At 33.7% G+C, this 13,175-nt stretch overlaps 1 protein-coding gene across 4 annotated transcripts in view; it reads right to left on the minus strand.

Moving 5' to 3' along the window:
* ANTXR2 (ANTXR cell adhesion molecule 2) overlaps positions 1-13,175 on the minus strand; it is a 172,327-nt gene that overhangs the window by 133,860 nt on the left and 25,292 nt on the right. For all 4 annotated transcript variants that reach the window (NM_001286780.2, NM_001286781.2, NM_058172.6 and 1 more), the window contains exon 8: positions 967-1,027. In NM_001286780.2, coding sequence (NP_001273709.1) covers positions 967-1,027 — 61 coding nt within the window. The remainder of the gene's footprint in view (positions 1-966; positions 1,028-13,175) is intronic.

Below are 13,175 nucleotides of genomic sequence, written 5' to 3' on the forward strand. Positions count from 1 at the left end.
CTCAGCTTCCCCATCTGTAAACCAGGGATGTATAAAACTTTCAATAGTGTTGTTATAAGGATTAGGTAAAATTATAAATGCAAACAACCCAGTATACCCTCAGCACAAAATTGGAGTTTAATAAACAACAGCTACTATTTTAATATTATTTTTCCATTTATTTTTCTTTGTTATCTCTAGAAATGTATTAACCTTCACTGTTAGGGAAGATAATCCTTCCCTGGGAAGTTCAGATGCACTACTTTCCTTAAACATCTCCATATTCATTCATTAGGGAATCTAGAAGATGCAGAATGTGAGACCATGCACAACTGGCTGAGAGGCTCTATGGTACATTACACAACATATTTTCTCCCCCACCAGACCCAATATTTTTCCTTTTTAAAGTAAAGTCAGGTTAAAATGAACTGTAGGTCAGGCTTGAAAAAGAAACAAAATAGGCCAGAGAGAATCACACTCTGTCTGGGCAAGGATGGCTGGGAGGTGTGAAAACCTGAGTATGTGCTTAGCACCAGCTGATAAAGCCACCTGCTTCCTTCCTGCAATCCGTCCATAAGTCACTTCCTTATGTGCCCTGAGCTGGCAGATTCTGTACTTTGTCCAGGTCATCAAAGCATGGAGCTCAAAGTCTACATATACCTGACTGTTTGTATAATCAGACAAAAGAAACAATTTCATATTTTATTTTATTTGCCATAGGAAAGGTCTCAAGCGTGAACTAAATATACAGAAGATTCTAAAAGCCTGTCACACAATATGCTCATTATTTAAAATAACATTCCAATCTTAAAAATTTGAATTTAAAATAGAAATATTTCAAGGAATTATTTAAAAATTCTTACACAAAAAAGATGCCAAAAAAGTTAATTTTGCTATTCTTTTTCCAACATGAGTTTCATATCATATATTTTAGCTAGGAAAAAAATACAATTTCTTACATGGTATTTTTAAATTCTAAACACTTACCCCCCACACAGACACTTGAGGGCTGCAATTCTAGGATTTCAGTACATGACTGAGCTAGTATCTAAAAAAGAAAAAAAAAAAAGATTACCAAGCTATAGATCTAAAATTACAATGTGAAGTAAATTATAAGATTAGTAATAACCTTGAGGTCTTCTCCATACTTCAATAGATCTCAGAGAAAATCTATTAACTATAGCGTGTACAGCTACCAAGTTCTTAGGAAACTTCTGCACTGTATTTCAGGGTATATTTTAAGATTATGTACTGTAGGATCCTTATTTGATTAAAGTAAATTCAGATAAGCACAGGAAAAGTGAGCATTGTCTCAAAGTCTGATAACCTTGGGTATGAATAGATAACTAAAATTTCCTGCTGCCATAAAATCTATGTTGACTTTCCCAATCAAGCAAAAACAAGATAACAAATCAGACCCCCTGTTTAGTAATGCTGTTATGTTTTCTGTTCAGAAGACCAATATAATATCAATAAAAAAGCACTGCTGACTGGGTGCGGTGGTTCAAAATAATATCAATAAAAAAGCACTTCTGACTGTGCACAGTGGCTCATGCCTATAATCGCAGCCGTTTGGGAGGCCGAGGCAGAGGGATCACTTGGGGTCAGGAGTTCAAGACCAGCCTGGCCAACATAGTGAATCCTGTCTCTACTAAAAATACAAAAAATGAGCCAGGTATGGTGGCTCGCGCCTGTAATCCCAGCTACTCGGGAGGCTGAGGCAGGAGAATCGCTTTAACACAGCAATGAGCCAAGGTCATGCCACTTCACTCCAGCCTGGACGACAGAGCAAGCCTCCGTCTCAAACAAATAAATAAATTAAAATTAAAATTAAAAAGCACTTCTCTTTATTGGACAGTGGCATTTCTATCCCATTTCTCAGGCTTAATTCCTGTGGGTGCTAGTCCCTCTTACTTGCATAAAAAATTACAATTGCAGAACATAGACTCCTTATATGAGCCAATATTCTTTTTAAAAACACAGACTCCATACTCAAGCATTCCCAGAACACAGGAACAGAACTGCTCTTCTTAGCTTGTTCTGAGAAACAGAAACCACCACACAAGGGACAAGGCTACAACTGAAAAACAATGATGAAATACGCTGCTCCTCATGGACAACAATCCTGTCTTTATTTTTAGAACTGCTCTGCACTATATTATCAGTCAGACAAATTCCAGATGATCTCCAGAATTCCTTTCTTGACATTCCTTTCTTGGCAGAAGTTGAAGACAGATTATTTACAGCAGTTTCTAGCATCTCCTTTTCATAACTAGAATAGGAAGTAAGGACTGTAGCAGGAAATAGACATGCTTTCTGTGCTTTCTTTAATAACAGCAAAACTATAAGTTCTCAGCCCCTAAAATCAACTGTGTCAAATCATGGAACTTTGTTGCTGAATATACATCTCTGAAAAGAGGGAAAATTTGTACTTTTTAAGATAACTTTCCAATAAACTCAACTTTTCACATAGTGATTGAGGATTTTGTGATTAGAAAACAAACCTCGTAAAATTTTATATCTGAGAAACTGCAGATGAGGCCCATTTAAATCCAGAAATGACCAAAGAGATTCCATAGGCACTCAAAGACCTTTCTGCACCCAAATACCTCCTCTTGGTCTGCTACTTTATCTACAATAACCAACATTCACTTTTATGGATTCAAGAATTAAGAACTCTTGTTAAAGGTTAATGTGCCCTCTTGGAAGGGTAGTATTTCAAATCACTAACATCTTTAAAAATTTGGACATAATTCAGATAACAAGACTCTGAAGGAAATAGAATAGAAAAGATTTGCAAAGGAATATGAAGCTGAAAAGGTTCCAACTAACAAAAATGGACATTATAGCTATAGCTTTGGCCAATCTGAGATAACAGTGACAACAGTGAACCATCAAAATGGAAGGTTAAAGGAAAACACAAAACCCCCAAATCTATTTTGTCTGTCATCAGTCCTGAAGGAATTTATCTTAAAACAGATCTTATTAAGGAGACTAATTGCATCTTTCAGTTTATAATCTCTTTAGTTATTTAGCCACAGCTTTATCAGTATTACTGAAAAAATATTTCAAGTACTCAGGAAAATTATGAGGCACTTAAAGATTACATCTATTGGCAATAGAAACCATTTCTCTGCAATTCCTCAGAATAAAGTAAATCAAAAAATTACAAAAGGATTTTCTAAAGATCATGTCAAAAAACATGCATCCGGAATGACTTCAGTGAATTTGTAACTTTATATTTGTTTTCTCTCTTCTATCAGCACTGACCATAAGTCAATCAGATTTCATAATATTTAAGATAATTGTGCATATGTTGACTTGGTCTTTTAATTTGATCCAATCCATCAAAACATTTCTAAATAAATGAGAATTCCAATAGCAATATCAAATAAGCAATTCTCCTAAGGAGATCTCTTTAAGGCTGAAGAACAAACACCCTCCAGGACTGCTGGTGATCTACATCTTTGGAGCCAGGCCCTGTATATCCCCTATAAGGTATTTTAATTTTAAAGAAGAGGTTCAGGATGATTCAACAATTTATGTTCTATTAAAGTCTGAGTTTAAAGAAATCAAGTTAAATTAAGCAGAGATTAAGGATAGCTAATGTTAGATATATCCTGCAGTAAACAGTATAGCTTACATTTGCTAATAACAATACATTTACATTAATTCAATATTCATAATTATTTTAATAAAATAAGTTTTTCTAAAAATAATATAATTGAATGGAAAAGTGACTCAGGTAACACATTCATTGAAAAGCAAATAGTGAGAGCACAAGTCATAACATTGGTATCACAATCTAATGTTATCTAATTGAATTTCCATGGCATATGCTCCTCTCTAAAGTTTGTTTTATTTATAAAAAAAAACTGTTTGGACCTTAAATTATATTATTAGTGCATAACTCAACTCTTCTACTAGAAAACAAACTTTTTGAGGAAAGAAATGAGATTGAATTATACTATACAGCACATTCAGGGCCTTACACATTGTTTTGTGCCTTCGGTACAACCAATAAATGCTTAAGGAATAAACATTGAACACATAAATTAATGAGGATATTAAAAAGTCTTATTAACAAACCAACAATCATATTAGGACACAGATGAGTCAGGATAAAGTTAATTTATGTGATGAGGCATCTATTTCTTCCATAAATTATGAATGTTGGAAATCCAGAAATCTATAATTTGAAACAAACTTCACCAAAACCATTTCCAAATGAAAAATAGAGAGGAGGGAGAAGAGTAAGAAGAGAATTTATGCATTTTTAGAAAATAAAATTTGTTCTAAATTTGTTCTTTTCCATCTAGAGTTTACCATGTTCCAATATTAAGAAAGCAACAACTAGAAATCAAAATAATTTGATGTCTGAATGCAAATAGTTTGCACCATAAGTTTTTTTGAACAGTTTTACAAAAACAAGTTAATAGTCTATTCTCACCAAGTAATTATACAAATTGAAATGTTCAAGATATCAAAATGGGTGAACAGACACTTCTCAAAAGAAGACATACAAGTGGCCAACAAACATACAAAAAAATGCACAACGTTGCTAATCACTAGAGAAATGCAAATTAAAACCAAAATGAGATACCATCTCACATCAATCAGAATGGCTATTATTAAAAAGTCGAAAACCAACAAATGCTGGTGAGGTTGTGGAAAAAAGGGAATGTTTATACACTGCTAGTGGTAATATGAGTTTAGCCACTGTGGAAAGCAGTTTGGAGATTTCTCAAAGAACTTAAAACTGTTATTTGACCCAGCAATCCCATTACAGGATACATATCCAAAAGAAAATAAATTCTTCCACCAAAAAGCAATCATGTGTTCATCGCAGCACTGTTCACAGCAAAGCCATGGAATCAACCTAGGTGCTCCTCAACAGTGGACTGGATGAAGAAAATGTGGCACATAGAAACCATGGAATAAAACACAGCCATAAAAATGAATGAAATATTGTTCTTTGAGGCAACATGAACGCAGCTGGAGACCATTATCCTAAGTGAATTAATGCAAGAAAATAAAACCAAAGACTGCACGTTCTCACTTATAAGTGGGAGCTAAATATTGGGTACTCATGGACGTAAAGATGGGAACAGTAGACACTGAAGACTACTAGATAGGGGAGGAAGGAAGAGAGATGAGGGTTGAAAAACCAGCTATTGGGTACTATGTTCAGTACCTGGGTGATGGGATCAACTGGACCCAAAACCTCAGTATCATGCAATACACCTAGGTGACAAACCTGCACAACCTGCACATGTACCTCCTGAATCTAAAATAAAAATTGAAAGGAAAGAAAAAATAGAATAAACCAAAATGAGTCTATTATATTAAAACTGTCATCTCTAAACAACTGACAAGGAGGAGAAACATTCTAAACACTCCAGTTAATTTTTGCCAAATTAAATAATATTACTGACTGAACATTGGATCAGGTGTCCCATCCACAATAAATGGCAAATTATCTTTAATACTTTGCAACTCCATCATTGGTACAAGAGAGAAAATTGTAAGGACTTTCCCTCTAATATATGCTGTCATCATTATGTTTCAATAGTAAAAGAAAATAGTTTCTACTAAATATAGCCTTAGCTGATATTAGAGAGAGCTAACAGCACCATAGACCAATAGATCAAATTTAAAGATAAATCAAGTGCTTAATAAATCTAGGGTATGTTAAGTCATGCACACACTAAATGCAAAATTTCATCATTTGATATTTTGGGGGATATATACGCATGCATAGACACACACACACACACATACACACACACACACACACATATTGGCAAAGAACCTGATATCACCATGAAAAAGTATACTATCGAAGCATCTGTTCACCCAAAAAGTAATATTAGTATTAAGGAGTATTTACAAATAAAAAAATTATATACCTTATTACCTAATCCCTAGTTTTAAGTCCTCAAACATTAATATAGATAACAAAAAGTCAAATTTTCTAAATTAAGTACAAGTATCAGTAGTCCAAAATTCAAAAGAATTTCTAACATGATAATAGTTAACCATTCATTGGGCACTTATGTTCCAGCAACTATGCTAAGTGCTTTTTATGAATTTTTTTCAGCTAATCCTCATAAGTCTAATAAACAAATATTTTTATCCATGTTTTATTGATGAGGAAACTGGGGCTTAGAAAGATTTTTTTAACTGCCCTAGAAGAATTAGCTCTTAACTAGGTTGTCCCCAGGTTTTATTGAGTCCAAACCCCATTCTTCTAGCCAGCACCTTCCACCACCCTCCAGGTTTGTGATGGATAATCTAACCATTACAAAATCTAACTCTTAACAAACTAGTGAAATGTATCTGCCTGTTTTGTCTGGACTCCTGTAATGCTACCAAAAACAATCTAAAATCTGGCTTATTCCTTATCCTCGAAAGTATATCACTAAGCTTTTGCTTTTATTTGTTAGGATCTTCTTTCCTTTTTTCTCAAAATTTTTTTTTAATTTTAATTTTAAGTTCTGGGGTACATGTGCAGGATGTTCAGATTTGTTACATACGTCAACATGTGCCATGGTGGTTTGCTGCACCCATCAACCTGTCACCTAGGTATTAAGCCCGGCACACATTAGCTATTTTTCCTAATGTTCTCTCTCTCCCCACCCCACCCTCAACAGGCCCCAGTGTGTCTTGTTCCCCACCCTGTGTCCATGTGACCTCACAATTCAGCTCCCGCTTGTAAGTGAGGACATGCAGTGTTTGGTTTTATGTTCCTGCATTAGTTCGCTGAGGATAATGGCTTCCAGCTCCATCCATGTCCTTGCAAAGGACATGATCTCATTCCTTTTTATGGCTGCAGAGTATTCCATGGTGTATATGTACTACATTCTGTTAATCAAGTCTATCATTGATGGGCAACTGGGTTGATTCCATGCCTTTGCTATTGTGAATAGTGCTGCAATAAACATACGCATGCATGTATCTTTGTAATAGAATGTATGTTTGTTTTAAAATTCCTAATGCCATTGACTTTGGATTTAAAATGTTTAATCATTCTATGAATTAGTAACTTATAAGATAGCCAAATACTTAGGGCCCTCTCTCTTATTATTATGTTTCTTTCTTGTCTTACTGTATTAATGCTTTCTATCTCAAATTTGTTTTGCACAGATAAAAATACATAGTTTTTACTTCTCAGCATCATTCAGAACCTAAAAGACAAAAGAGGCCATACTAGAACAACAAGCTACCACAAGCCCTAACTCTGGTTTTCGAAGACAACAGGCACTTAGAAAACTGCAAAACTCCGTTTATAAAAATTAAATTTGTTATATGATCTTAGAACACATTTTCTTTACTAACTATGTGAATGACATCTAGGTTTCATAGTTCTAAAATTTTAGAATTTACCTGAGTTGGGAGCAGAAATGTGAGGCAGAAGTTTGGGGGTGTTTTTCTTTCTTTCTCTATACTTTTTCTGGACATGGAGAAGACATTGGGTACATTTTTCATATGGAATGTTAGCCTTTGGTCCTCTCCCCCTCACTGTCTCACCTAGGTTGCTAGACACACACAGTTACTTCTTTTCTAAATATGCTCTCTATATAGGTTTCCTTTATCTCCCAAAATACTCCATTTTATTGTACCTATTCTTATCTCATGAACTCATTCATACTTTATATTGAATGTGAATATGTGAATTGATAATATTGTAAACTCAAAGTGATGTTTGTTAAGCTATGAAAAATAACTGTGCATGGAAATTCAGGCAGTCTAACAATTTTAAAGCAAGAAATGCAAGCAGCATGAGGGAAAATCTAAAATGGGATCCCAACATCGCAAAAACAGGTCTACCTATAAGGCCAATTTCTCTGTTTTTCCTTTTCTTAGTTTCTTTCCCTCTTATATTTGTGAATCACAGGGTCTCTAAAACCTTTTTAACCGATGGTTGTTCTCAGAGGGCACAGAATAGGCAGAAATAAAGGTATGAACTTCCAGGAGGAATCCGTCTAGGCAAAATAGCTATTGGTATACACAATACTATCTGTAAGACTTGTGCTGATAGTCTGCTAAAAATATACAATAGAAAAGAGTTCACAAGCATGGGGGAGAGAGGGGAGTGGAGGATGAAAAATTACTTAGTGGGTACAATGTGTCTTATTCCATACTAAAAGCTCTGACTTCATCCTGAAGCAAAATATTCATGTAACAAAATTACACTTGTACCCCAAAAATTTATACAAATATGGAATTTTAAAAAACATATTGAGTTCTAAATTCTGATATTTGGTATAAAATGGCTGCATTCCATATTGTGCCAGTGAATTAAATGCCTAGTTTTAAATATTTGATCTCTGCAATAACAGTCACTATCCTTTCTCACTGAAACCTTCTCTCCTACTTAAGATGTGTCTTGAATGCCTCCTTTAAAATGTGTGGTAAAAAGTCTGTCATGTATTAACATGAGAAATTCAAAACCCAAGTATTTTTCCCTTTGCTAAGTTTTTGGGATAAAACTGCTGATGGGATAATAACATTAACCCCTTATAAATTATAATGACATTTTCTGTTGCTTCTAACTGATCGTATAAAATTTTGATGCATTATTTATACAGTTCAGATAAGCAAAATATTCTCAATAGTTCAGGGAACACTGCTAACTAATTTCATGGAATTTTTCTATTTGGCAAGGGAGAAGTGCAGGATAAGATAAAGCTGTTTATGTATCCCTCTGGGTTTGTTTTCAGTTAGCAGCAAGTCCAGATCCAGCCGTAAGAGTCAGCTGTGACTGCCCTGCCTGCTGGCCTCCTTGAGATTATAGATGTTTGGCAGGAGATGAAAGTAGATTCTACTGTTGTCTCTTCTCTGAAGCCCAACTTGAATGAAGCATCAGAACAGTGTTTAAGCCTGGACACTCTAGGAATGTCCCAAATTAATTTGCATCGAGTCTATATCTAGTATAATATGGTCAGGTTGCATGGATTCACCAAAGGCCAAATCTCCTTTCTACATGACAAGAGGCAGAAATTCACTCTAGAATCAGAATTGGCAAGGTTTGCTGGAGGTTGAGAACCAACGCTAAGTCAGAGGGACAAATACTCCAAGAATCCAACGGGCTACAAAGAAGTTTCCTATCTTGCTTGCCTATATGGTTACAATCAAGTTTTTACAACTATTGAATAATAACTGACGGTAAAGACAAATTGCTGGTATTGTCAAGGAAACATCCATAGCAAAAATAACCAGAAATCATCAGAAGGCATGAGTTTTGTGAGAACCTTGACTTAATTTCTTCTTTCTTAGAGGTTTCATGATACATGTGGAATCATACTTTGATTGAGATCTTGTAAGTTCCTGAATATGTTTACATAAAAGACACATGCTATAATAACAAACGTAGGACACATAAGAGGTAATAAAAGCAATATCATGTCCTGAAAAACATACACAATGGATATAGTTATGGCCTTTTCTTCTGGTATTTAAAGTAATATGGGATTTGTGGAGAGTTGTAGTTGGTGTCGATCCAAGATAATAATTTATCATGCAATAAATTAAGATGGGGAGATAAAATCAAAATATTATTTAGGACCTATGTTGTCTTTGAAGTTTATGTTGAATTTGAGAGAAACATCTATGAGCTAGACCTTAGGACTTGAAGATCAACCACCCAGCTTGACCAAAACAAAAACACCTCCTACAATTAATATAAGCCTAGACATATTTTAAAATCCATATTTTTTTTCTAATTTCTAAGTGGCAACAGGAAGGATACTATATCTGGAAAACAGAATGCAGTCCATTCCAGAAGAATGAAATAAAAACTTTTAAAATGAATAACACCACATATTCAAAATTCAATCTAATATAAAAAGTATATAGCGCAATATCTTATGAATAGCAGCTACTCAATGAATGTTTATTCTATTTAATTAAAAAGTAAATGCAAAACTTTTTAATAAGAAGCATGGCCATTATGACTATAACATAAAAAACAGAGCATATAACACTAAGAGTTATGCATGTAAAAAGATACAGAGCTTACTGAGAAGTTATTTGAATTAATCAAAGCATATTTTCAGTTACACACAGTGAAAAAAATTATTTGGATAAATTCAAATTTTGGTAATTAATAGTACCTATAAGGCATATTGGACCAGATGCAAAACTAAACAAAAACAAAAACAACATGAAGAGAAACAAACTTAAGTTATGTGTTATCTTCTTTTTAAAGTCTTATTTTAGGTAGAATATATAAAAAGAGAAAAGGGGTATTAACTCCCATTAAATGGTTTCCTCTGTAATAACATTTTTTAGGATCAACTCTAAATAATAAGGCTTTTTCCTCCCCAAAATAGATTATTTCTTCATATATACATTCACATGTGCTACCTAAAGTTCTCCAAAATTTTTACAAATCTATTAAAAATTCTAAATATTCACCTCAGCAAGAATTTTTTGACACTGATTTTGGATCTATAACATCACTGGCAACCGATCATCACAAATAATTTACAAGTGCTCCAGGTGTGTCCTTAACAGATAGAAACTGCCAATTTCCATGACCCACAGCATGTCAGAAAATATTGGCAAGGGTAGTAGAGTCTAAAAAAGCAAGGTTTTTTTTTTTTTTCCTGACTCATTGAGCAGCTTTAAACACTAAAGGATTCATCCCCAATACAAAAAGATTTCAAGTTTAAATCAGGAGAAAATATATGAAAAGTATTAGTTTTAAAGGTCTAACAAAATGAAGCTTTAGTAATTAGACATCCAACTGCATAACATAAGCAGCAAAAACAACTGGAAAGGTGTTTCTCATCCTCTTGTCTTGTTTCCTTTTCACCTTTTAATATTCAGATGTGTGATTTTTATTTTTTCTATGGCTTCCAAACACCCCAGCCAAATATATTTTTCTCTAAGGGGTAATACTTCAACTAAGAACAATTGCTATTTTATAATCACATGTTTTGGTTGAGTTCATTCCTTAAAAATGCTTAGAGCTTCAAAATATCAGTTGCTCAATACAGCACACACCACTCTGACTAGTTTCTAAATATGGATTCTCTTCTGTCTTGCAAGTAAGCAAGGAATAAAAGCACACATGACAAATTTCTAAACAAACTTTTACCCTAAGAGAACTGTGGAAGAAGGTAAATCATACTCATTGTCTTTTAGTCTTCTGAGCTCCAAACAAAACAGATGGATAGTTCTGATTACATTGTTGATGAACATACTCTCATATAATAAATCTTTTTTAAAACTTTAGTTTCTTCCACATCTCACAATTCTGATATTTAAAATAAATCATATTAGCAGTCTTGCTGTTTCATTACAATATAGAAAAAATTCCAAAAATGCATAGTTTGTGATTGGAAACAAGTTTATCTGCCACTACTTTTTGGTTTTGCTGTTGTCGTTGTTGTCTTTGGTCACCACAAACTCAAAATAATCATTTAATGCTAGCTTAGAAAATAAATAAGCTTCCTATAAAAACTGCCTTGAACTTATGAGATAAAATAATAATAAATAGACTATTTCAGAATTTGAAGAAACTTGTTCATGGTATAATTTTCACTCTGATGCAAACATTATTTTGTATTAGCCTTATTTGCCCACTTTCTTGTTTTACTAAGACATGAAGTATATCTGCCAAGCAGTCTTAGTCTATATTTATTCCATTTGATTTTTCAGAAATCCAGGATGGCAAATGAAATGTTTCCCTATGCAACAATAATAGAAAAAATATCTTACTAATTCTTCTATTAATTTTCCAAATACACATCCTAAAAATTGTAAGCTCTGAAGAGTTTGGGGACCATACCCATTTTGGTAATACAAAACACAGCAAAGTGTCTTGAACACAGCCCAGTACCCAACAAATGCTTCTGAATCAACTGAGAATTATTATATTTGGAGAAAATGAAGTATAATTGAGAAATTGTACATTTTTCCTCATAATGTACACCAAATGGTACATTTGGTGACAAATATTAACCATTTTCTGCACCTGTTCAATTTCCTTCCACTCAATTAAATCTGCTTTTAAGAGCAGGTAAGCCTCTGTAGGACACCTTTTATAGTCCAACAGGTTAATGTTAAGAAATTAAAATTTGGAATTTCATTTTATCTGTGTAACCAAATGTCATCAGTTTAGTTTAGTTTTCTCACAAACTATCACAAAGCTGTACTTATTTATTCAAAGTGGATTTAATTTTCTTAAACTACAATCCCAACCAAATTTTTTTTAAAAAAAAGAAAATAATAATATTATTAGGGAATATTTTCATGCAAATACAAATACAGCTTTGGACAGTAGAGGCCAAAATAAGATCAGTTAATAAAATGAATAATTTAAAGGAAACTTTCTATGTTTATTATCAAGTGGGATTTCGGAGGAATGGGGTGTCTTCTTAGAATATATGTCAAAATATTTTAAATGTATTTGAATATAGTGAGCTGTCATCACTACTGATTTTTTTGTTCCTACCCTGGACACTTTTGCACCCTTACACTTCTATGAATAGTGCTCCTTTCTATTTGGGAAACTCTTTTCCACTCCATGTGGTCCTAGTGAGGCTGTGAATCACAGTGCCTTCTTCTCCCTCTCTCCCTTGCCCCCAACAGAATTGGTACAGGAATGAGCTCATGACTCAACCGAATCAATTAGAGTTCTTATCTGGGACCCTATACACTGATGCAAAGACAACACCCCTCACTTTCCAATATACTTGCTGAGGACCATGTAAGCCTCCTTTTGCAATTACAGTTCACCACCATTCATCTAAACAAGGAATGAGGCAAATAGAAACATAGGCAAAACTTACTGAGAGAGAAGACCCTGACAACATGATTGATTCCTTGGATCCAGCTGTACCTGAGGTAATTTCCCTCTCTGGACCACCTAGTTACAGGCCAGTAACATTCTATTTTTCTTTTCCTTAAACTATTATTAACTGAGTTCTTGTCATGTGAAATCAAAAGAGTCTTAATACAGTGAAACATAAATATGAGGATGAAATCAAATTTATATGAAATCAGGGGTTAATTATCTAATGTTCAAATATACCATAACTACATTAGAAAAATATAAAAACATTTTTAAGAACTTGCATAGATTTTTATTCATTTTATTTATTTATCTAATGCACATGGAATCAGAGGTTAATTTTTAATGCTCCAATATACCATAACTATATTATAAAAATATAAGAATATTTTCA

Source organism: Homo sapiens, chromosome 4 (genome assembly GCF_000001405.40).
Source record: "Homo sapiens chromosome 4, GRCh38.p14 Primary Assembly".
Classification (NCBI taxonomy): Eukaryota; Metazoa; Chordata; class Mammalia; order Primates; family Hominidae; genus Homo; species Homo sapiens.